Source organism: Homo sapiens, chromosome 2, assembly GCF_000001405.40.
Source record: "Homo sapiens chromosome 2, GRCh38.p14 Primary Assembly".
NCBI classification, from domain to species: Eukaryota; Metazoa; Chordata; class Mammalia; order Primates; family Hominidae; genus Homo; species Homo sapiens.
In genome coordinates this window covers 3,079,243-3,104,236 of record NC_000002.12, presented here as the reverse complement: position 1 = coordinate 3,104,236, position 24,994 = coordinate 3,079,243, and the positions used below count along the sequence as shown (strand labels likewise).

The 24,994-nt window shown below is 42.1% G+C and overlaps 1 long non-coding RNA gene across 1 annotated transcript in view, besides 1 other annotated feature; it reads left to right on the top strand.

The window, feature by feature from the left end:
- LINC01250 (long intergenic non-protein coding RNA 1250) overlaps positions 1-24,994 on the top strand; it is a 230,979-nt gene that overhangs the window by 21,790 nt on the left and 184,195 nt on the right. The window lies entirely within an intron of this gene.
- Positions 1,495-2,279: an enhancer, noted in NCBI's record as "H3K27ac-H3K4me1 hESC enhancer chr2:3105730-3106514 (GRCh37/hg19 assembly coordinates)". NCBI's record gives its function as "activates a minimal SCP1, AML or CMV promoter by ChIP-STARR-seq in naive H9 embryonic stem cells {active_cell/tissue: H9 hESC(naive)}" and the evidence as "EXISTENCE:reporter gene assay evidence [ECO:0000049][PMID:30033119]".

Sequence of the window (24,994 nt, the reverse complement as noted above, 5' to 3'; positions counted from 1 at the left end):
TTGCTGGCTGAAGAAATCAAAAGCTGAAGCGAGGCTCCATGGTTTTCGAGAAGCTGGTGCTGCTGAAATCCACACGCCACTCTCTTTCTTTTCTTTGCATGTGACCTGCTTTTCCTTTCTGGAAGTCTTTAAGATCTTTTATTTATTTATTTTGGTTGTTTAAAATTTTATACACAGTGGCGTGCATCCTCCCTCATTTACTCCGATGGGTACTCAGTGGGGCTTTTCAGGTGAGAAAAAATGTCTTGTATTGTTTCTTTGATCATCTCCTTCCATCCATCCTCTTTTTTGATGTTTCTATTAGTTAGATGTTGGACAGCCTGTGCTAATCCTCTACATCTTTAACATTTTCTCTGTTATTCTTCATCTCTAGCAGATTTCTTTTACTTTATTTTCCAATTTGTCCTTTGAATTTCATCTATCATCATTTTAATTTTTAAAGAACTTTCTTTTTCTTATTCTCTTGTATTCCTTAAAAAAAAAAAAGCAAATTCAATAGTTCCCTAGTCTGAGAGCATTTCTTGTATATAAATCTTTCTTCAATTTTTCTGTGTTTGTTTTATCATGTGTTTCCTCCTGATTCTGTTTCCCCTTTTGTTCTCTATTTCATGCTTGGCTGTCTGCTCATATTTAACAGCGAGGAACTAAACATTTATTGGAAGCTCCCTGTGCATGGCAGAGTTTGCCAACTGGTTGACCTCAGAGTCGGGTTATGGGGTAGTGTGACAGGTGAGTCTTAGTATCTAGAGGTGCTTTTTCCGAAGCTGTTCAGTGATTCCTAGCAAAACTCTCTGATCTATTGCTTGGGATTTAAGCCTGGTGTTAGCAGCCTACTAGCAGGAGTGTGGCAGAGGGTGGAGGGGTGGTGATGGATTTGGGAAGCAAGCTGAGGGGACAGGTTCCCAGTGTGTGGAGTTTAATTAACCCCATGGAGTCCACCTTCACCTTCACCTGGTGCCCCAGGCACAGGCCCCTGTTGTTAGATTTTCTCTAGGAAGTGTCTTTTGTTTTCTGCTCTTGGTGTGTGTGGTCTGGGGAGGGGTAGAGAATGATCTGTTGTGTGCATTTGGAGGACCCCTGGGTTATCCACCCTCTCTGTGAATTCTCACCCAATCCCCCATTCCCGATGTCGCTCCTCATCCATGCCCGCCCCAACCCCAGCTCCTTTCTGTGCACTGGTGCCCTCCAGGTCTGACTCTCCTCCCTGGGGGGAGCCAAGTGGTCCCTCCTCGGTCCCCTCGTAGCACAGCTGGGTGGTGGCCTTGGCTCGCTCCGTCCCACCTCCTATTCAGGCAGTCTTGCGTCACCTACCGCCTACAGCCCCGTTCTCTTGTTCTCTCTGCTCTTGTATGTTTACAGCTTTCTAATTCCTTCATGGCTGTTTAGTGGAGCCTGAAGGGTGGGGCCTCGTGTGGCCCGTCTGCCCTCCTTCAGGCTGTGCCGCACTGGTGCGTTTGGTGTGTGCTTGGTGAGAGTCTTTGGGTCCTGCTCGGAGGAGGCAGGAGCGTGAACGGCGCTCCCAGGGCCAACCAACGGTCTGTGGTCATCAGCAGGCCTGGAGCTGCCTGTGCAGGGTGGAGGGGGCTGTTCTGGTCTTGGCCTCACCTCCTCTGCCACAGCTGCAAGTTTAAGTGCCTAACCCATCAGGGTCAAACCCAGGGGAGTGCTTCCGCTGGCAAGAAGGCCCACACAGAGAGGCGAGCCCTGACTTCCGCTGTGCGCCCAGCACTGTGACCCAGAAGGCCGGCCCCAGCGTTGGTCCTCGCGGGACGCTTGTGTGGACCCCGGTGAGGAGCAAAGGTGAACATGCTTGTCGTGGTGCAGCACACAGTGACCTGCGGCTGATTCCAGCTTCAGCTTGTTCTCTGTAGACCAGAAAAAGGCAGCTGTGAGCAGCGTGCGGGGAGAATGGTCCCAGGGGCTCGGCCTCCCACCTGCCTGTCTCAGGACCCCAGGGCGCTCCGGACCCCAGGTCAGTGTGGGGTGAGAGGGGCACTTGTCTCTACTCCTGGCGCTGCTCTCCCCAACATGGGGGCTAGGGAGGGTTAAAGGGGGTGTGAGGTCATGTGCCCAGATGTCCCCTCCAGTGGTCTGGGCGGGCACCCTGGTGCTTGTGCCGACCCCTTGGCCCCCTATCTCTTTGCTTGTGTGTCTGTGTCCTCGTCTCCTCTTTGTGTGAGGATACCAGTCCTATTGGATCAGGGCCTACCCTGATGGCCTCATTTATCTTAGTTACTTCTTTAAAGATCCTTCTCCAAATACAATCCCTTCCTGAGGTGCTGGGCGTGAGGGCTTCGCCAGATGAGTTTCAGGGAACATGACATCGTGCTGGCTCCTCGGAGGCTGTGAGGGCGGGGTCTGCTGCTGCTCCTCTCCTGGTGGGCAGGTGGCCGTCCTCATCTTCATGGGGACATTCTCTTTGCATGTGTGTCTGTCTCCAAATGTCTTCCTTTACACGGACCCCAGTCGCGTTGGATCAGGGCCCACCCTGATGACCTCATCTTAGCTTGATTAGCTCTGGAAAGCCTCAGTCTCCAAAGAGGGTCACATTCAGATGTGCTGGAGGTTAGACTTCAACATATGCATTTTGGAGGACATAATTCAACCTGTAATAATGTCCTTTGGGAATCTGACGGAAACCAGATGCCCTCTCTCCAGAAACGCGCCGCACACATGGCTCACAGTCTGATGTAATCACAATCACAGGGAGCTCTGGGCTCCTCTGAACCCCACAGGATCCATAGGTCCCGCTCATGAGCTGACCTCCAGGGAGTGCCTGTCTTCAGCCTGGACCCACCGCCTTCTCTCCTCCACCCGCTTTGGAACGTGCCGCCGATCCTCGCCTGACACTTACCTGCTGCAGCTGTGTCCGGACAAAGCTGTCTGGGGCTTCTGAGATCTCACAGCACAGCAGCCCCAGTTGTAGTCACTTTTAACTGAAGGTACCTCCACCGCGTCCTTGGGGGTTTTGGAGGCCAGCTGTCCCTGGCTCGCAGTGGCTTTTTACCCTGCACGGAAGGCGCTGTCCCTGCTGGACACTCTCGGCTCCATCACTTCCCCGCGCTCCAGGCGGGTAGCAGGTTCCACCGGGGCCGAGAACCGGCCGGTGAATGAATGGCCCCCACAACAACCTAAAAAGGAATGGTAGATGTCTGGGTTGCTAAAACTTCTCCAGCTACTGCTGGAGTCTTCCGGGTCACCTCTCTCCTCCCACCATTTGCTGGGGCTGGCCCCATTGTCTCTTTCTCCATCCTCTGTCTGCAAAGAGCTCCTCCAGGAATCTCAGAAATGATTCCTCATTCTCCAGGTCCTTTCAGCCGAGTCTCTGTCTGCCTTAGCCTTTCTGGACCCTACCAAAGGTGAATGAAGCCAATTCCCCTTTCAAGCCCAGGAGGGCCCTGAAGGTGAGCAATTCTCAGGGAAGAAGTTGCTCAAAAACAAATACACGCAAAATTTCTTCCAGGCTGTGAGCCCCTGAGAGCAGGAGCTCAGCGTTTCTCTTTGCACGTCAGCTTCTGCCTCATTCTGGGAGGCTGGTGAATGTGTGTGGAATTGAGCCGAATCAGGAGGGCTCTCTCCCCTGGCGGTTGGGGGAGGGCGAGGACCCTTGCCTGGGTCTGCACTTCCCTCCACTGGGGCCGGGAGTCATCTGAGAAGTTGGCCCACAGGGAGAGGGCAATGGTGAGGGTTGGTCTCTGTGGTTTCCTGGAGGAGGGTGGGGAAAATCCACAAAACAAGGCTGGAGAAGCTGCGTTCTAAAGTGGAAAGGCCACATCCCCCTTCTTGAGGACTTCCGGATTGCTCACCCAAGTTATCTCTTGAGAATTTTCACCATTTGTTATAGAATGTACCATAGGAATGAAATTATTTATGGTGAAAAATGATGCTTATTAACCACGAAGGTTAAGAAAATAGCCCTCAAAAGGGAGTAAGATTTTGCCAGATTTTCTTAATGAACAGGATTATGCTTATAAAATTGCGCATTTTGCATACACATTTTAAAAAAGGAATGAGGACTTTTCAGAGTGAAATGAACTTCTTTAATTAGAAAGCATTTGCAAAAGCAAAATAGGAAATAATACCCACACTTGCAGCTTCGCCCGCATTTCCTTGCAGGGCCTAGAGCATGCGTCTAGACTGCGGTTTCTGTGGAAAAGACCTGTTGCACGGCAGCCTCGCGGCATGCGGCTGTGAGAGAAGGAAGCAGGCAACATGGTCAAGGCCAGGAGAAAGCCCTGATGTTGGTGTGCTCTGGAAGCATGCGGGAGCTGGTGTGGGAACAGGTCCCTGGGGTGGGACCCTGTGATTGGAGGCAGACGGCTCTCCGTCACTCTCAGGGATGAAGACGATGAGGCTTCAGCAGCTTGAAGGGAGAGGGATGATTGTCAAAGCATGATAGGACTGTAGCCTGGTGGAGTGGGGAGCAGGTGGATGTAAGACCACTTAGACTAGACCCAACTGGAAAAAAGACCCCAATATATGCAATGGTTCCTTGCATTAGTGGCTCTCAACTGGGGGTGATTTTACCCCACAGGGGACACTGGTGATGTCTGTAGGCATCTGTGATGATCACGGCTTCAGGGGTGCTACTGGTATCTGATGGCTGGAGGCCAGGGGTACTGTGAAACATCCCCCGGTGCACAGGACGGACCCCATGACAAAGAATTATTGTGTCTAAAATGTCACCATGCAATTGTTGAGGAATTCTGGTCTAAAATGCAGAACTCCTGATTTCCAGCACAGTGTCCTTGCTAGAAGTTTCTGCTTGACTCTGAAGGCACATATACATTGTCTATGACTTACCTGGAAAACTGTGAGTGTGAGTCATGTGCTTCTAGGTGTACTGCTGGTGCAGTAGACCATGGCAGAATCACATGCAAACAGAGAAGCAGATTCTCTCAAAGCCAAACAGTATCCCAGTCCTGAGTGGCAAACTGCCCCGCCCCAGCCCAGGGCAGACATCACCAATCAATCGTGGCATGTGGCATGGTTTGTCGTTGTGGGCACCAGATCCTCACTACATTATGGCCCACACAGACTTGGCAAGGGACAGGTACTTCCCACTCCTAGTGCACATGATGTGAATTTGTGTATGATCACCACAATGATGACCTCGCTCCCCACACCTCTGCATCAGGCAGTCATCAATACCTCTATCTTCCCTTCCATAACTCTTTTTTTTTTTTGAGATGGAGTTTTGCTCTGTCACCCAGGCTGGAGTGCAGTCGTGCAATCTTGGCTCACTGCAGCCTCCGCCTCCCAGGGTTCAAGCGATTCTCCTGCCTTAGTCTCCTGAGTATCTGGTACTATAGGTGCATGCCACCATGCCAGGCTAAGTTTTGTATTTTTAGTAGAGATGGGTTTTCACCGTGTTGGCTAGGCTGGTCCCAAACTCCTGATGACCTCAAGCAATCAGCACTCCTCAGCCTCCCAAAGTGCTGGGATCACAGGTGTGAGCCACTGTGCCTGGCCCTCATTCTTGTTTTAAAGGCTGGAAATATAAAAATACCCCAGGAAAGGGTCAAATTAACCTTTTACCCCACAATGTGAATAAAGCTATTGATTCCAGGCCCTACTGATCATTGGCTGAAACCAGAGAAGGTTTCCATACCAATCAATCACTGGCTGGAAAGTTCTGTAGATGAAGAGAAAACTCGTGTTGAGTGTGGGGCTTGGCAGAGAGGTGAGCAGGGAGAGCCTGGAGGGCTGGGGAGGTGTGGCCCCCAGGACTCAGGGTGGGTGAGACTGACAGCAGCCCCCAGGACAAACTCAGCCACATCCCCTCAGGATCAGACTTGTCTGGGGGCTCAAGGGCAGAAAGCAGGACTACAGTGTAAGCCTTGTGGTGTTGGAGTGGGGTTTCCTGTCTCCATGGGTTTGCTGAGGCTGGAGCTGCCATCACAGCCCACCCACCCGTGATGCAGGGGGAGCAGCAAGCCTTAGCAGGTCCAGACCAGAAGCTTCTCTGGGTCCATTTTCCCCTGGAAGGCAGTCATTCTAGAAAATAGAGAATTCTAGAAAGAAGTCAAGGATTCGGGGACTCCACCGATAGGTTCTGTCCGAGCTGCCTTGCAAAGGTGCCCCAGATCCACCACTCTGCATGAGGCCCTCTATGGGCTCCCTAGTCCAAGCTGTCACTGTCCCTCATCTGGACAGAGCTGTGTCCCCAGATGGTCTGTGATGGCTGCCCTTGCACCGCCTCTCCCAGTGTGTCCTCTACAGAGCAGGGCAAGCTCTCAGGTCCTGTTTTGGAACACACCACCATGCTGCCTGGTTGTCTCACAGGACTGGAAGCTGGGCCCCAGCTTGCTGGCCCCGGCGGGGCACCTGCCTGCTCTCCGTCTGTCCGTCCTGGTCATGGGGCACTTCTTCATGCTCCTGGATGGCACCCAGCCTGTCCGTGCACTAGGGTCCTTCTCTTGCTGTGGACTCTGTCTCAAAGGTTCTCTCCTCTCTGTCTTCAGCTTGTTTCTTCCATCCGCTTGAACTGACTTGGTGCTGGCTGTTCCATCTGGAACCCAGGTCATCCCCCCTTTTTTCATTCCTAGCACTTATCACTACCTGCAATTGCATTGTTTGTTTGATTGATTACTTTTTGTTACCTATGTTCCCCAATAAATCAAAAGCCCTAGGTTGGCAGGAATTCTTTTTTTCCTTTTAGTCCTGGTGACTAGGGCTGTGCTTGGCACTTAGTAGCAATAAATAAGCATTTCCTATGTGAATCACTGAATTATCATAGAGGGACCAGGAACAGAGATGCCTAAATAAATCAACCTAAACAATAAAATTTAATTAATAAGCTTAATAAACCAAAATAAGATTTTATCAATAAGTTTGGTAACTTAAAATAATCGTTGAGATGCTTAGGTGGGCAGGGATCTGCCAGATTATTTGGTTTTAAGTGGTTAGAGCAATCCCAGAGTGGTGGAACAGAAAGAGAGGGCGGAAAGACCCACCTGTGTGGTTTGGATTCCCCATCTTATGAGAAGCAGGAAGCGTAGAAATGAGGTGGCCTGGGAGCAATTAGCTGGTGCTCAGAGAGTAAGAGGCAGCTGCTAGAGTGGGAACTGATGTTGGAAGCCTTCAATCACTGTTGATAGGATACAAATGAGAACAATCGCTTGAAAGTGAATATGGTAGCATCTGACGAAGGTAACCCAGTGATTCACCGTCTAGGTTTATACCCCCAGGAAAACTCTTATGCATATATACAAGGTAACATGCATAAAATAGTGTCCTGCAGAATTGCTTTTAATCACAAAAATCCGAAACAAGCTAAATGGCCATTGATAGGCAAATGAGTAGTTGTGACATATTGAGAGAATAGTTTTATAACTCTTAAATGAATTTTTAAATGAATGAATCCAAACACTCGATTTCTCTTTCTGTATCAATAAAACTAAAGTGGATACATCTCAATAATCTAATGGTGAATCCAAGAAATCTATTTGCACAATGATTCCTGGAGCATGATATTATTAATATAAAGTTTGAAAATATGAAAAACAGAGCTTCAAATTATTTGTGGTCCAATATATATACAGGAACAAGATAAAAACATGTGCAGAATGATAGCTGCCCAATTCAGGATAGTGATTGACTCCGAGGCAGGGAGGGTTAAGGACACTTAGAGGTAAATACGAGCCTTCAATTTCATCACTGATGTTTAAAGATTTTTTAAAATGTAAAAAGTGTATACCAAAATGCTGATATGTGGCAGAGCTGGGTGGATGCTGGGTGTCCTTATTTCAGTCTCTGTACCTTCCCGCTTGTTCTAATTTTTCCTAATCATGTGACTGATTTTTCTTTTTCTTTTTCTTTTTGAGACAGAGTCTCACTCTGTTGCCCAGGCTGGAGCGCAATGGTGCAATCTTGTCTCACTGCAACCTCTGCCCCCTGGGTTCAAGCGATTCTCCTGCCTCAGCTTCCTGAGCAGCTGGGACTACAGGCGCCCACCACCACGCCTGGCTAATTTTTATATTTTTAGTAGAGATGGGGTTTCACCATGTTGGCCAGGCTGGTCTCCACCTCCTGACCTCGTGATCCGCCCACCTTGGCCTCCCAGAGTGCTGGGATTACAGGCGTGAGCCATCGTGCCAGCCCTGATTTTTCAATAGACTGAAATATGTGGGGTACAAACGGGGAACAGGATCATTTTCTCCGCTGATTATTCTAGCAGTGCCCTGGTCATTCTCTCTTCCCCTTAATGACTCCCAGGCTGATCTCATAGCCTCTGGATTGCTTTTGAGTTCACAAGTAAGTCCTGTCTTGATAATTGCCACTCACTTCCAAGTAGTTAAAAGCCATCTAATCTAAATAAAAACTTCAATCTCACATCCCAGTCTCAGTTTCCTCTCCTCCCAGGCTGTTCCGTGATTTGGAGTCCTTGCATGCTTCCTCCCTCCTTCATCCCTATTCTGGGTGAGGGAGGATCAGAGAGCAAAAAGGTAAGAAGTTGTGCCTGTTTAGCCAGTGCTGCTGTTGTGCTCTGTTGGCTGATAGCAGCCATCTCTGCTGGGGTCAGGGAGGCTGGGGGAAGGGCGAGCGGCTCCTCCCTGGATCTCCGGGTGGGGCTTCTGGACTGCTCAGCCTGCTGACTGAGTGATAAGCTTTTTCACCCATCTCCTGTGACTCCCCTCCCCTTAGACCAGGCCCACAGCCTCCTCATTGCCTTCTCTCACCTGGCAGACAGACCTCTTGCTCCGGGTATGCTAAAGGTGTCTCGGAGGCTGCCGTGCCCAACGGTGACTTTCTCCTGCCTCACCTTGCCAGGTGATGGTTGCCATGTTTCCTTGCCCAGCATTCTTGGATGCTCCAGCCAGACTCCTGCCTCAGAATTTTCAGGAGAGGAGCAAACACAAGTCTGTATGTTCACACATGTCCCCACACTGCAGGGACACAAGCCCGTCTTACCTAGGGTCTCTCCCACTATTATTTTCTCTGGTGGCCAGGCTGTGGTGGCCCTAGAGGCTGCTGTTGTTCAGCAAATGTTTAGCAGGAAGTGTGAAGCTGGTGCTCCCGATGTGCCCGGGAGTCCTCCTCACTTGACTTATAGGAAATGGGGAGTGCTTCCCAATCGGTCCTCCACAGAAAGGATGGGGCTTAAGCCCCAGTGTTCCTCCTTAAGGACCCCGCATTCAGATGGACTTCTGGTGGCCACCAACACGCCTGGTCCTAGGTGCTCCTTTTGAATTTCTGTTTTCTCTTTGTATGGCCTGGTTGGGATAGTGGCAGTGAGAGTGGCTGAGCCTGTTTTGCTCCTCTTCAGTAAGTCCAGAATTCAAGACAAGTAAATTTCCATTCAAAATCCAGTGATAATGCATAAAAATAGAGTGGATTAGTGCCTAACTACATGAAGTGGCTGAGACTGTGAGGGCAGGCATCTCGGATGAGGAAAATAACCTGGGGAAGCCCTTAGGTTTCAGCAAAGGCGAATTCAGTATTTGCTCATACAAATGCAGATGAGTGATTAGAAGGCCAAATTAGTCCTGAGAAGATAATTGTACTTTTAAGCTTTGGATACAGGATATTTGATGTTTTGATATAGAATGTTTAATTTTTCTAGCTATAAGTGATATTTGTAAAATAAACATTTAGATTTTTAAAGTGCTCAGATGAACAGTGTATTAACATTTCCCCATTTTTAGGTAAATATGGTGGAAATAACCCTAACTAGAGGACACAGTCTTAAACCCTGAATGATCCACGTGGTGGTAGTTACCCACAAGGCAAACACAGAACTCTTTGGACAAACACTTGTTTCCTCTACACAGAGAGATACCCAGTTCTATCACTTAAGCTGGAGTTGGTAAATCCCTTTCCTTATTTTGATTTTGTGTTTCTCCTGCTTGCTATTGGCCCTCTCCTCATGTTCCCTTCCCACAGGATAATTCCTTACAATGCTGCTGCCTTGCATCCTAGATCCGTTCTGCCTTACTACATGATCATTTTCAATTCTTAACTTCTTTGCTGTTAAAAGTTTTCCCTGGGCCAAATGTTCTTCCCAGCATTGAAAATAATCCAAGAATGTCCACTTTCACCACTCTTGTCCAATACTGGAGGTTCTAGCCACTGCAGTAAGACAAGAAAAAGGTACAAAAGGCATACAGATTAGAAAGGGAAAAGTAATTCAGCTGGCATGATTGTCTACATAGAAAATCTCAAGAAATCTATCAATACAACTCCTAGAGACAATAAGTGAGAGTATCCAAATTTTGGGGTACAAGATCACCAATGAAAATTATATCACCTTTCTACATATCAGTAATAAATATTTGAAAACCAAAACTAAAATCACATTACTACAAATAATCTCTTCAAATAAAATATTTAGCTGCCTCAAACAAAACATATAAGGATCTATATGCTGAAATTTTCAAAATGTTCACAAAAGAAATAGAAGAAAATCAAAATGAGGAGACATGCTATGTCAATAGGTTGAAAGTCTCAATCTAATAAAGGTGTCAATTCTACCCAAATTGATCTGTAGGTTTAACATAATTCTTATTAAAATCCCAGTAAGGCTGTTTTGTGGACTTGGACAAGTTTAACACATCTAGACAAAGGATCTATAATAGCTGAAACAGTGTGAAAAAGAAGAACAAGGAGGAATGACTCTTCCTGATGCTAAGGCTGGCCATACAGCTACAGGAATCAAGACAGTATGGTTTTGGCAGAGGGACGGACATAGCAATCAGTGGGACGTAATAAAGAAATAGACACACAAATATGCCCAAGTAATTTTTTGTTGTCAAGGTGAAATTCACAGAACAAAAACCTCAACCGTTTGAAGAGAGAAATTCAGTAGCTTTTCATACAAATTGTGCATTATCCACCTTTATCTACTTCTACAATATTTTTATCACTCCAAAATAAAATCTGCACTTCTCCCTGGCCTCTGGCTGTCACCAATGTTCTTCTTGTCTCTATAAATTTATCTATTCTAAATATTTCATTTAAGTGGAATTACACCAAATGCGACCTTTTATGTCTGGCTTCTCACACTTAGCACAATGTTCATGAGGTTCATCCACATGGTAGCATGTATCAGTACTTCATTCCTTTTTATGGCTGATTAATATTCCATCATATGTATAGGCCACAATTTGTTTATCCATTCATCTACTGATGGACATTTGGGTTGTTTTCACTCATTGGCTGTCATAAATAGTGCTTCTATGAAATTCTTTTACAAGTATTTGTTTGGATACCTTTAAAAATTCTTTTGTATACATATGTAAGAATGAAATTGCTTGGTCACATGGTAATTCTATGTCTAACTTTTTGAGGAGCCACCAAATTGTTTTCTACAGTGGCCGAAACATTTACATCCCCACCATCAATGTGTAAGGGTTTCAATTTATCCACATCCTTGCCAATGATTATTATTTTCCATTTTGAGTTAATTACTTTATACATGGTGTGAGGTAGGAGTCCAGCTTCACTGTTTGCATATGGATATCTAGTCCTGACACTATCTGTTGAAGAGACTATACTTCCCCATTGGTGGTCTTGACACCCTTGTCAAAAAATCATTTGGTCATAGATAGATGGACTTACTTCTGTACTCTCAGTTTGATTCCATTAGTCTATAGGTCTATGTTTATTGCATACCAACTGCTTTGTTTCCTGTAGTTTTGTAGTAAGTTGAAATCAATAGTGTTTATGTTCCCACTTTGTACTTCTTTTTGAGTTTGCTATGGCTACTCAAGAACCCTTTTGCAATTCTACATCAATTTTAGAGGCAGATTTTTCCATTTCTGCCAAAAAAGATTACTGGAATTTTGATAGAGGTTGAATTGAATCTGCAGATCACTTTGGGAAGTACTGCCATCTTTACAACATTGAATCCTCTAATCCATGGGTATGAGATGTCTTTCTGCTTACTTAGGTCTTTTTAAATTTCTTTCAGAATTGTTTTATACTTTCCAGTGTACAAGCCTTACACCTTCTTGTTAAATTTATCCTTAAATATTTTATTTTTTATACCATTATAAATGGAATTGTTTTCTTTAGTTCATTTTTGGACACTCGTTGTTAGTGTATAGAAATACAACTGATTTTTGTATTTATCTTGTATCCTGCAAATTTGCTGTGTTTAAAATTGACTTTAATAATTATTTGTGGAAAATATTTTTGTGGAAAATCTTTAAGATTTTTTACATATATGATTATGTTATCTGTGAATAGTTTTACTTCTTCCTCTCCAGTTTGTATGCCTTTTATTTCCCTTTTGCCTAATTGCCCTGGCTAGAACTTCTGCTAAAATGTTGAATAGACGTGGCTAAAGTGAACATCCTTGTTTTGTTCCTGATACCAGGGGGAAGTCTGCAGTCTTTCATCAGTATGAGATTGTCTGTGGGTTTTCACATGTGGTTTTTATCATGTTGAGGCAGTCTCCTTCTATTCTCAACTTTTTGAGTGCTTTTATCATGAAAGAGTGTTGGGTTTTGTAAAATGCCTTTTTTTCTGTATCGAGTGAGATGGTCTTATGTTTTTTCCTTTGTTCTATTAACATAGTGGATTATATTGACTGCTTTTCATATGTTGAACAACCCTTGTACTCATAGGATAAATCCCACTTGGTTATGGGATATAATCCTTTTAATATGCTGTTGGGTTCAGCTTGTTAGTATTTTGTTGAGAATTTTTGTATCTACAGGTACTCCTTGACTTACGAGGGCTTACATCCTGATAAACTCCTTAAAAGATGAAAATCTTGTAAAAATGCATTTAATATACCTAACCTATTGAACATCATAGCTTAGCCTAGCCTGCCATACATATTCTCAAAACATATTAGCCTTCAGTTGGGCAAAATCATTGAACACAAAGCTTATTGTAAAGTGTTGAATATCTCATGGAATTTATTGAATATTATAAGTTGGGGACCATCTGTATATTCATAAGGGATATTGGCCTGTAGTGTTATTTTCTCATCATGTTTTGGCTTTGCTATTAGGGTAATACTGACTTTTGTTTTTTGGGGGACTTGGGGCTCAGTGAGGGTAGAGATTTTTGAATACTGATTAAATCACTTTACTTCTAGATTGGTTTAGATTTTCTATTTTTTCTTTAGTAAGTTTTTGTAGTTTGGGTTTTTCTAGTAATTCTCCAATTTTTGTCTAAATTGTGTAATTTGTTGGTGTACAATTGTTCATAGTATTATCTTAGAATGCTTTTTATTTCTGTAATGTTGGTAGTACAGTAGTCCTCCTTTATCCATGGTTTTACTTTCTGCAGTTTTAGTTACCTGTGGTACAGTATAATAAGATATTTTGAGAGAGAGAGAGCACATGAGAGAGAGAGAGTACACATTTGCATAACTTTTATTACAGTATATTGTTATAATTGTTCTATTTTTTATTAGTCATTGTTGTTAATCTCTAGTTTTGTCATTAATCTCTTACTGGGTATAAGTTATAAATAAAACATAATCACAGATATGTATGTATAAGAAGAAAAACACAGTATACCTAGAGTTTGGGACTATATGTGTTTCAGGCATCCATGTGGGTTCTTGGAATGTATCCTCCAAAGGTAAGGTGGGGAACTACTATAATGTCTGCACTTTCATTTCTGATTTTAGTGTTTTGAGTCTTCTTTCTTTTCTGTTGGTCATTCCAGGTAAAGGATCATTAATTTTGTTAACCTTTTCAAACAATTCACTCTTAGTTTCATGAATTCTCTCTATTGTTTTTCCATTCTCTATTTCATTTATCTCTATTCTGAGCCTAATTATTTTTCTCTTTCTGCTAGTCTTTGGTTTAGTTGGCTCTTCATTTTCTTGTTCTTTAAGATATAAAGTTAGGTGATTGATATGAGATTTTTTTTTCTTTCAAATGTAAGCATTTATAGCTAAAACTTTCCCTCTGAGCACTGCCTTCATGGCATCCCATAAGTTCTTGTATGCTGTGTTTTTGTTTTCATTTATTACAATGTATTTTCTAATTTCCAATGTGATTTCTTCTATGACCTATTGATGTTTAAGAGCATGCTGTTTAATTTCCACATTTTATATATTTCCCAGTTTTCCTTCTGTTATTGTTATTGTTTTATTGTATTGTAGTCTTAGAAGATGCTTTGAATAATTTAAATTTTCTTAAATTTATTGAGGTTTATTGTGTGGTCTAATATATGGTCTACCCTGGAGAATGTTCACGCACACTAGAGAAGAATATGTGCTCTGCTCATGCTATAGAAAGTTCTAAAAATGTCTGTTAGATCTAATTCTTTTATCATGTTGATCAATCCCTCAATTTCCTTATTGATCATCTGTTTAGTTCTAGCCATTATTGAGAGTGAGGTATTGAAGTCTCAAACTATTCTTGTAGAACTGTCTTTTTCTCACTTCAGCTCTTTCAGATTTTGATTCATGTTTTGGAGTTCTATTGTTAGGTGTGTATATGTTTATAATCATTATTCTTTCTTGATGGATTAACAAGTTTATCAATATTTAATGTCCTTTTTGCTTCTTGAAACAATTTATCCTTAAAGTTAATTTTGTCTGATACTGTTATAGATACCATAGCTTTCTTTTGATTAATATCTGCATGAAATATCATGTTCCATCCTTTCACTTCCAATCTGTTTGGGTCTTTGGATCAAAAATGAGTCAGTCTCTTGTAGGAAGCATATATTTGGATTATTTAATTTTTTTTTTTTTTGATATAGAGTCTCACTCTGTTGCCCAAGCTGGAGTGCAGTGGCGTGATCTTGGCTCACTTTAACTTCTAGTTCCTGGGTTCAAACAATTCTCCTGCCTCAGCCTCCCAAGTAGCTGGGACTACAGGTGTATGCCACCACATCTGGCTCATTTTTGTTTCACCATATTGGTCAGGATGGTCTTGATCTCCTGATCTCGTGATCTGCCCACCTTGGCCTTCCAAAGTGCTGGGATTACAGGTGTGAGCCACCACACTCAGCCTGGATCATGTATTTTTATCTAATCTGCCAATCACTGCCTTTTAATTAGAGAGCTTAATCCATTTCAATTAACATAATTATTGATAAACAAGGGATTACAGCCATTTTGCTATTTTTCTATACTCTAATGACTTTTCAATTTCTCAGCTCTTCCTCTATTGGTGCTTTCTTTGGTATTTAACTGATTTTTTTCTAGTATACTCATTTGATTTCCTTTTTATGTCCTTTTCTAGGGATTATAATTCAAATATTAAATATACAGTAATCTATTTTAATTAATTCCAATCTAGCTTCACTAAGTGGATCCTTTATAGCTCTGTCCCCACCCCTTATGTTGTCATTGTCACAAATTACATCATTTTATCTTGTGTGCCCATTAACATAAATTTATTTTGTTTATTCATTTTGTTTTGAAATGTATAGGGAAAATAAGAGAGTACTAACCCAAAATATTATATTTTATATTAACTTATGCAGTTGCCTTTACTAGTGTTCTTTATTTCCTTGTATGGCTTGCAGTTACTATCTAGTGATCTTTTATTTCAGCCTTAGAGACTCCCTTTAGCATTTCTTGTACGACAGGTCTACTAATTATGAACTCTTTCAGCTTTGCTTTATCTAGAAATGTTTTAATTTCTTTTTCATTTAGAAGTAGTTTTGCTGGACATGGAATTCTTGGTTGACAACTTTTTTTCTTAAGCACTTTAAATCTGTCATCCCACTGCCTTCTAGATTTCATAATTTTCATTGAGAAACTGTCTTTTAATTTAATTTAATTTTATTTTACTTATTTTTTAATTATACTTTAAGTTTTAGGGTACATGTGCACAACGTGCAGGTTTGTTACATATGTATACATGTGCCATGTTGGTGTGCTGTACCCATTAACTTGTCATTTAACATTAGGTATATCTCCTAATGCTATCCTTCCCCCCTCCCCCCACCTCACAACAGGCCCTGGTGTGTGATGTTCCCCTTCCTGTGTCCATGTGTTCTCATTGTTCAATTCCCACCTATGAGTGAGAATATGCGGTGTTTGGTTTTTTGTCCTTGCGATAGTTTGATGAGAATGATGATTTCCAGCTTCATCCATGTCCCTACAAAGGACATGAAATCATCATTTTTTATGGCTGCATAGTATTCCATAGTGTATATGTGCCACATTTTCTTAATCCAGGCTATCATTTTTGGACATTTGGGTTGGTTCCAAGTCTTTGCTATTGTGAATAGTGCCGCAATAAACATACGTGTGCATGTGTCTTTATAGCAGCATGATTTATAATCCTTTGGGTATATACCCAGTAATGGGATGGCTGGGTCAAATAGTATTTCTAGTTCTAGATCTCTGAGGAATCACCACACTGACTTCCACAATGGTTGAACTAGTTTACAATCCCACCAACAGTGTAAAAGTGTTCCTATTTCTCCACATCCTCTCCAGCACCTGTTGTTTCCTGACTTTTTAATGATCACCATTCTAACTGGTGTGAGGTGGTATCTCATTGTGGTTTTGATTTGCATTTCTCTGATGGCCAGTGATGATGAGCATTTTTTCATGTGTTTTTTGGCTGCATAAATGTCTTCTTTTGAGAAGTGTCTGTTCATATCCTTCGCCCACTTTTTGCTGGGGTTGTTTGTTTTTTTCTTGTAAATTTGTTTGAGTTCATTGTAGATTCTGGATATTAGCCCTTTGTCAGATGAGTAGCTTGCAAAAATTTTCTCCCATTTTGTAGGTTGCCTGTTCACGCTGATGGTAGTTTCTATTGCTGTGCAGAAACTCTTTAGTTTAATTAGATCCCATTTGTCAGTTTTGGCTTTTGTTGGCATTGCTTTTGGTGTTTTAGACATGAAGTCCTTGCCCATGCCTATGTCCTGAATGGTATTGCCTAGGTTTTCTTCTAGGGTTTTTATGGTTTTAGGTCTAACATGTAAGTCTTTAATCCATCTTGAATTAATTTTTGTATAAGGTGTAAGGAAGGGATCCAGTTTCAGCTTTCTACATATGGCTAGCCAGTTTTCCCAGCACCATTTATTAAATAGGGAATCCTTTCCCCATTTCTTGTTTTTGTCAGGTTTGTCAAAGATCAGATAGTTGTAGATATGTGGCATTATTTTTGAGGGCTCTGTTCTGTTCCATTGGTCTATATCTCTGTTTTGCTACCAGTACCATGCTGTTTTGGTTACTGTAGCCTTGTAGTATAGTTTGAAGTCAGGTAGCATGATGCCTCCAGCTTTGTTCTTTTGGCTTAGGATTGACTTGGCAATGCAGGCTCTTTTTTGGTTCCATATGAAGTTTAAAGTATTTTTTTCCAATTCTGTGAAGAAAGTCATTGGTAGCTTGATGGGGATGGCATTGAATCTATAAATTCCCTTGGGCAGTATGGCCATTTTCACGATATTGATTCCTCCTACCAATGAGCATGGAATGTTCTTCCATTTGTTTGTATCCTCTTTTTTCTCATTGTGCAGTGGTTTGTAGTTCTCCTTGAAGAGGTCCTTCACATCCCTTGTAAGTTGGATTCCTAGGTATTTTATTCTCTTTGAAGCAGTTATGAATGGGAGTTCACTCATGATTTGGCTCTCTGTTTGTCTGTTATTGGTGTATAAGAATGCTTGTGATTTTTGCACATTGATTTTGTATCCTGAGACTTTGCTGAAGTTGCTTATCAGCTTGAGGAGATTTTGGGCTGAGACGATGGGGTTTTCTAGATATACAGTCATGTCACATGCAAACAGGGACAATTTGACTTCCTCTTTTCCTAATTGAATACGCTTTATTTCCTTCTCCTGCCTGATTGCCCTGGCCAGAACTTCCAACACTATGGTGAATAGGAGTGGTGAGAGAGGGCATCCCTGTCTTGTGCCAGTTTTCAAAGGGAATGCTTCCAGTTTTTGCCCATTCAGTATGATATTGGCTGTGGGTTTGTCATAGATAGCTCTTATTATTTTGAGATACGTCCCGTCAATAGCTAATTTATTGAGAGTTTTTAGCATGAAGCGTTGTTGAATTTTGTCAAAGGCCTTTTCTGCATCTATTGAGATAATCATGTGGTTTTTGTCTTTGGTTCTGTTTATATGCTGGATTACATTTATTGATTTGTGTATGTTGAACCAGCCTTGCATCCCAGGGATGAAGTCCACTTGATCGTGGTGGGCTTTTTGATGTGCTGCTGGATTCAGTTTGCCAGTATTTTATTGAGGATTTTTGCATCGATGTTCATCAGGGATATTGTTCTAAAATTCTCTTTTTTTGTTGTGTCTCTGCCAGTCTTTGGTATCAGGATGATGCTGGCCTCATAAAATGAGTTAGGGAGGATTCCCTCTTTTTCTATTGATTGGAATAGTTTCAGAAAGAATGGTACCAGCTCCTCCTTGTACCTCTGGTAGAATTCGGCTATGAATCCATCTGGTCCTGGACTCTTTTTGGTTGGTAAGCTATTAATTATTGCCTCAATTTCAGAGCCTGTTATTGGTCTATTCAGAGATCCAACTTCTTCCTGGTTTAGTCTTGGGAGGGTGTGTGTGTAGAGGAATTTATCCATTTCTTCTAGATTTTCTAGTTTATTTGCGTAGAGGTGTTCATAGTATTCTCTGATGGTAGTTTGTATTTCTGTGGGATCAGTGGTGATATCCCCTTTATCATTTTTTTATTGCATCTATTTGATTCTTCTCTCTTTTCTTCTTTATTAGTCTTGCTAGCAGTCTATCAATTTTGTTGAGCTTTTCAAAAAACCAGCTCCTGGATTCACTGATTTTTGAAGGGTTTTTTGTGTCTCTATTTCCTTCAGTTCTTCTCTGATCTTAGTTACTTCTTGCCTTCTGCTAGTTTTTGAATGTGTTTGTTCTTGCTTCTCTGGTTCTTTTAATTGTGATGTTAGGGTGTCAATTTTAGATCTTTCCTGCTTCCTCTTGTGGGCATTTAGTGCTATAAATTTCCCTCTACACACTGCTTTGAATGCGTCCCAGAGATTCTGGTATGTTGTGTCTTTGTTCTCATTGGTTTCAAAGAACATCTTTATTTCTGCCTTCATTTCGTTATGTACCCAGTAGTCATTCAGGAGCAGGTTGTTCAGTTTCCATGTAGTTGAGCGGTTTTGAGTGAGTTTCTTAATCCTGAGTTCTAGTTTGATTGCACTGTGGTCTGAGAGACAGTTTGTTATAATTTCAGTTCTTTTACATTTGCTGAGGAGTGCTTTACTTCCAACTATGTGGTCAGTTTTGGAATAGGTATAGTGTGGTGCTGAAAAGAACATATATTCTGTTGATTTGCAGTGGAGAGTTCTATAGATGTCTATTAGGTCTGCTTGGTGCAGAGCTGAGTGCAATTCCTGGATATCCTTGTTAACTTTCTGTCTCATTGATCTGTCTAATGTTGACAGTGGGGTGTTAAAGTCTCCCATTATTATTGTGTGGGAGTCTAAGTCTCTTTGTAGGTCACTAAGGACTTGCTTTATGAATCTGGGTGCTCCTGTATTGGGTGCATATATATTTAGGATAGTTAGTTCTTCTTGTTGAATTGATGCCTTTACCATTAGGTAATGGCCTTCTTTGTCTCTTTTGATATTTGCTGGTTTAAAGTCTGTTTTATCCGAGACTAGGATTGCAATCCCTGCCTTCTTTTGTTTTCCATTTGCTTGGTAGAGCTTCCTCCATCCCTTTATTGTGAGCCTATGTGTGTCTCTGCACGTGAGATGGGTTTCCTGAATACAGCACACTGATGGGTCTTGACTCTTTATCCAACTTGCCAGTCTGTGCCTTTTAATTGGAGCATTTAGCCCATTTACATTTAAGGTTAGTATTGTTATGGGTGAATTTGATCCTGTCATTATGATGTTAGCTGGTTATTTTGCTCGTTAGTTGATGCAGTTTCTTCCTAGCCTTGATGGTCTTTACAATTTGGCATGTTTTTGCGGTGGCTGGTACCAGTTGTTCCTTTCCATGTTTAGTGCTTCTTTCAGGAGCTCTTTTAGGGCAGGCCTGGTGGTGACAAAATCTCTCAGCATTTGCTTGTCTGTAAAGGATTTTATTTCTCCTTCACTTATGAAGCTTAGCTTGGCTGGATATGCAATTCTGGGTTGAAAATTCTTTTCTTTAAGAATGTTGAATATTGTCCCCCACTCTCTTCTGGCTTGTAGAGTTTCTGCCGAGAGATCAGCTGTTAGTCTGATGGGCTTCCCTTTGTGGGTAACCCGATCTTTCTCTCTGGCTGCCCTTAACATTTTTTCCTTCGTTTTAACTTTGGTGAATCTGACAATTATGTGTCTTGGACTTGCTCTTCTCAAGGAGTATCTTTGTGGCATTCTCTGTATTTCCTGAATCTGAATGTTGGCTTGCCTTGCTAGATTGGGGAAGTTCTCCTGGATAATATCCTGCAGAGTGTTTTCCAACTTGGTTCCATTCTCCCCGTCACTTTCAGGTACACTAATCAGATGTAGATTTCACAAGGGGTCTTTTAATTTTATTGAGATCCCTTGTATGTGTTGTTTCTTCTCTCTTGCTGCTTTCAAGATTTTCTTTGTCTTTTTTTTTTGTACAGTTTGATTATAATTTGTCTCAGTGTAGATTTCTGATTTTATCTTAATTGATGTAGATTCATGTTTTATTAAATTTAGGTAGATTTTTGTCCATGATTTATTCAAAAATGCTTTCCTCCTCTTTCTCTGTATCTCTCCTTCTGAGATTGCTATTGTATATATGTTGGTATGCTTGTTGGTGTCATAAATGTCTCCTGGACTCTCTGTTTTTCTTCATTTTTTCCTTTCTGTTCCAAAGACTGGATCATATTAAATAACCTATCTTCAAGTTTGCTAATTCTTTCTTCTGCCTGTTCATATGTATGTTTCAGTTATTATATATTTAACATTGATAATTTCTACTAGATACCTTTTTACACGTTCAATTTCTTTATTGATATTCTTTATTGATATTGGTATTCCTCATTTGACATAATTTTCCTGGTTTTCTTTAATTCTTTGTTCATGGTTTCCTTTCACTCTTTCAACTAATTTGAGATGGTCTTTGATTTACAGTTTTTATCTAGCAACTTTTTTGCAGAGATTTTTCAATTAATTTCTTATTTTCTTATGAATGGGATAGACCTTACTTTTTTGAATGCAAAACATTTTTATTTTTGTTGAGAACTGGACTGGACAGTTTGTACATTATAATGTGGTAACTCTAGAAATCACATTTCTCCCCTCCCCACTCAGGGTTTGTTGTGCTGCTTGTTATGGATTATTTGTTTGATTTAGTGACTTTTCTAAGATTTTTTTGTAAAGACTGTATTTGTTGTGTTTTACCACTGAAATCTCTGTTCCACTATTTTAGTGATCTGTGAGTGATTTGGCAGAGATCTCCTTAAATGTCTGGAGCCAGAAACATACAAACGAATGAACAAACAAACAACAAACCACAAACACATAAGAGCACTCCGGGTCTTTGCAGGTTGGCTCTGTGTCGGAGTACTCTGTTTACAACTCTGTTTTGCCTTCATCTGTTTACACAGAGCCTAAGCATCAGGCAGAGGTGGAAGCTTAGGGTCTCCTCAAGTTCTTATGAGGACATGTTCACCTTTGTGCATGTGGCTGTCTTGGTTCCCATTCCATCGTGTATCTCCTTTCCCAGCATCTTTTCTCTTTTGTTTTTGGTGTGTCTATTGCTTTCTCTGACGCCTATCCATTTCCTCTTGTGGCTGTGGCTAGTAAATTTGCCTTTAAATACTTTAGACAAATATCACCCAAGAAACCAGTTCAGCCTTGGAAAAGCTTTAAGGCAATTGAGGCAAACCCTTGAGTTGATCCTTTAGGGAGCCACCAGAAAGGTGACATATAACCATAATTCCTTGGGAGCAAAGTCCATATTGGACCCTCTGGTGGCAGAAACATGCACCTGGCATGTGGGCCACCACCTTCAGAGCTGCCACTGAGCCCAAGGGGAGGGGATGGTGAGCAGGTAACTAAAATCACGGGGATCTCTTATTGAAATCTAGGAGCCCCTTGCCTCATTAATAAAGAAGTTCCTTCAGGTTGTTTTTTTATTAGATTCCAGAGTTCCAAAAAAGTCAATTCTGACTGTTTTTGCCAGTTCAGTCACTGCTGTGGTGGAGGGATGGAGTCTTGGATTTACCTAGTCTGCCAATTTTGGTGGCAGATGATTTTTGACAAAGGTGCAAAAGCATTTCAATGCAAGAAAGATAGCCTTTTTAATAAATGGTATTGGAGAAACTGGACATATGTTAAAAAAAGAAATCTGACCAAAGACTGATATATTACATAAAAATTAACTCAAAATGGATAAATGTAAAATGTAGAACTACAATTTTTTTAGACAACAACAGAAAATTTCAGGACCTAAGGCTAAGTGAAAAGTTTTTAGACACCAAAAGTACAAACCACAAAGGAAAAAAAAGGATAAGTTGGACTTCATGAAAACTTAAAATTTTCTCTGTTAAGAGCGTAGAAAACAAGTGAAAGACTAGAAGGAAATATTTGCAAACCACACATCTGAGAAAGGATGTATCTAAAATATATAAAGATCAGTAGAAAACAAAGCAACATTAAAAACAACCAATCCAATTAGAGAATAAACAAAAGACATGAACAGACACCTCATTAAAGAGGTTAAAGAGATGGCAAACAAGTTCATAAAAAGATGTTCAACATATTAGCCATGAGAAGAATGCAAATTAAACCACAATGAGACACCACTGCACTCCTATCAGAATGTGTGAAATAAAAAGCTGACCGTACCAATGGCTGGTCAGGATACAGAGACACTGGATCACTCATACATTGCTGGTGAGAATGTAAAATGGTGCAGCCACCCTGGAAAAGAGTTTGATGGTTTCTTAAAAAACAAAACATGCAACTAACTACTGTGTGACATAGTAATGACATTCATGAGGATTTATCCCAGAGATATGAAAACGTATGTTCACGCCAAAATCTGTGCATGAATGTTCATAGCAGCTTTACTTGTAATAGACTGGGAAAAACCCTAATGTTCTTCATGGGTGCATGGTTAAACTAAGTGGTACATGCCGACCATGGAATACTACTCAGCAATAAGGAATGAATTATCGATACATACAACAAGTTGGGTGGATCTCAGGGAGCTATGCTGAGTGGAAAAAGCAAACCTCAAAAGTTTACATACTCTATGGTTTGATTTATATAACATTCTTGACATGACAAATTGTAGACATGGAAAACAGGTAAGTTCTTGCCAGGGACCGGGGTATGGGGAGGAGGAGCCTGTGACGATGGAACTGTTCTGTATTGTGGTTGTGGATACACAGAGCTACATGTGACACACACACACATACACACATACGAGTGTATGTAAAACAATGCATCCTCTGGTCTGGGTCTTTTGCATGGTTAAGATTTTGGTCAGAGTCATATGTCACCTGGTTGTCCCCTGAACCTGCCACATGTATTTCCCCTCCCTGCCCTTCCCTCAGGCAGAAGTGGAAATAGAGCAGCTTCCATGGGAATCTGAGAGAGCAGAAGAGGTGGAGGTGGAGGCTGTGTGGTTCTGTATCCACGCTGCTTCTGCAGCTCCTCTGCTTCTGAGCCACAGGAGGTGGTTGTGCAATACCCAGAGAGGCACTGGGCATCCCAGGATATTAGAGGTAGAGGTCGGCCTCCTTCAGCACCCACCAGGGTAAACTGAGGGCCTGTGTGAGGAGCCCCGCATTGACTCCAGTGGGGTGGTGAGGCAGAGAGCTGCCCTGTGGAGGGGGTGCTCAGACATGCCGTAAGACACAGGGTCGCTGGCTCCCTGGCAGGAGTGGGGGGCATCCTGCGTCAATCTGGCATGTCCCACACACCCCGGTGAGGCCACCTGGGGGCACTTGAGCGGGCCCATGGAACTGCCAAGTCCTGGGGTTAGGAAAAGGGGGCAGGTAGCCTGGACGGTGGTTCAACATCATGTGCCTGACTGATGCCGCTCCAGGTTGGGGCTGACCAACAGCCAACCGGGTGAGACCAAAAGGGTCCCGAGGGCCACATGGGCCCAAGCCCATCTCCACCCTCAATACCGTGGAGCTCCCCAGAGACTGAGATGCCACACTGGGGAGAAACATGAAATGGTGAGAATTTTCCTCAAAGAGACTGAGTTAGTCTCCTGGAAGAGAAGGTGAGGCCTCAGAGTCACACGTCCTCCCTCTCTCCACCCCCAAACTCATCAGGATGAAACCATAAGGAGTAGGCTAACTTTTTGGAGGTGTTGCATCTGAGTCATATAATGTGCCATTTTTCTTCCCAATATATTGGTATAAAGGTAGAATATTCAAGTATTGGGGATGACCCAGAATAAATAGTAAAAGCCCCCTTTCCCCAAGTCCTCTCACCAAAGGCACTTACTGTCAGCAGTTTCTGCAATTCTTCCCCGAATATTTAACTTTTAAAAAATATTTAAACCAAAAAGATAATCTACAGCACTCTCAGTGCCTCTCTTGCCTCTTTTTCTACTTAAATTGTCCTGAGAATCTTTCCACACTGACCCTTCCCTTTTACTTCTAATGACTGTAGAGTTTCACCATCATCAGTTTCCGCACTGACCCCCCACCCCTTTCACCTCTAATGACTGTAGCATTTCACCATCATGAGTTTCCACACTGACCCCCACTTTTTACTTCTAATGACTGTAGAGTTTCACCATCATTGGTTTCCACACTGACCCCCCAACCCTTTTTACTCCTAGTGAAGTAGAATTTCATCACCTTTGGGGGACCTGACTTATTTCCCCTGTCCTCTTTGTGTGAACACTTCGCTTGTTTCAGTTTTTTGCTATTTCAAAAAATGTTGCAATACACATCTTTCTTTTTTGTGTATATTTTGGGGGAACACTTCTGAGTACCTACACAGGACAACTAGCAGTGTATGTTTGGATTATGGGGCACAGGAATTTATTTATTTTTAATAAAAAGTAAAACATGCTCAAAGTAAAAAAAAATCAATCTGATATTTGAAGAGTAAAAAGTATAGCTCCTTTCTATTCAAGCCTGCATCCCCTATTTTCAGGGGGGTCATCATTTTTATTTCTCTTTCTACATCTTACCTGTAAT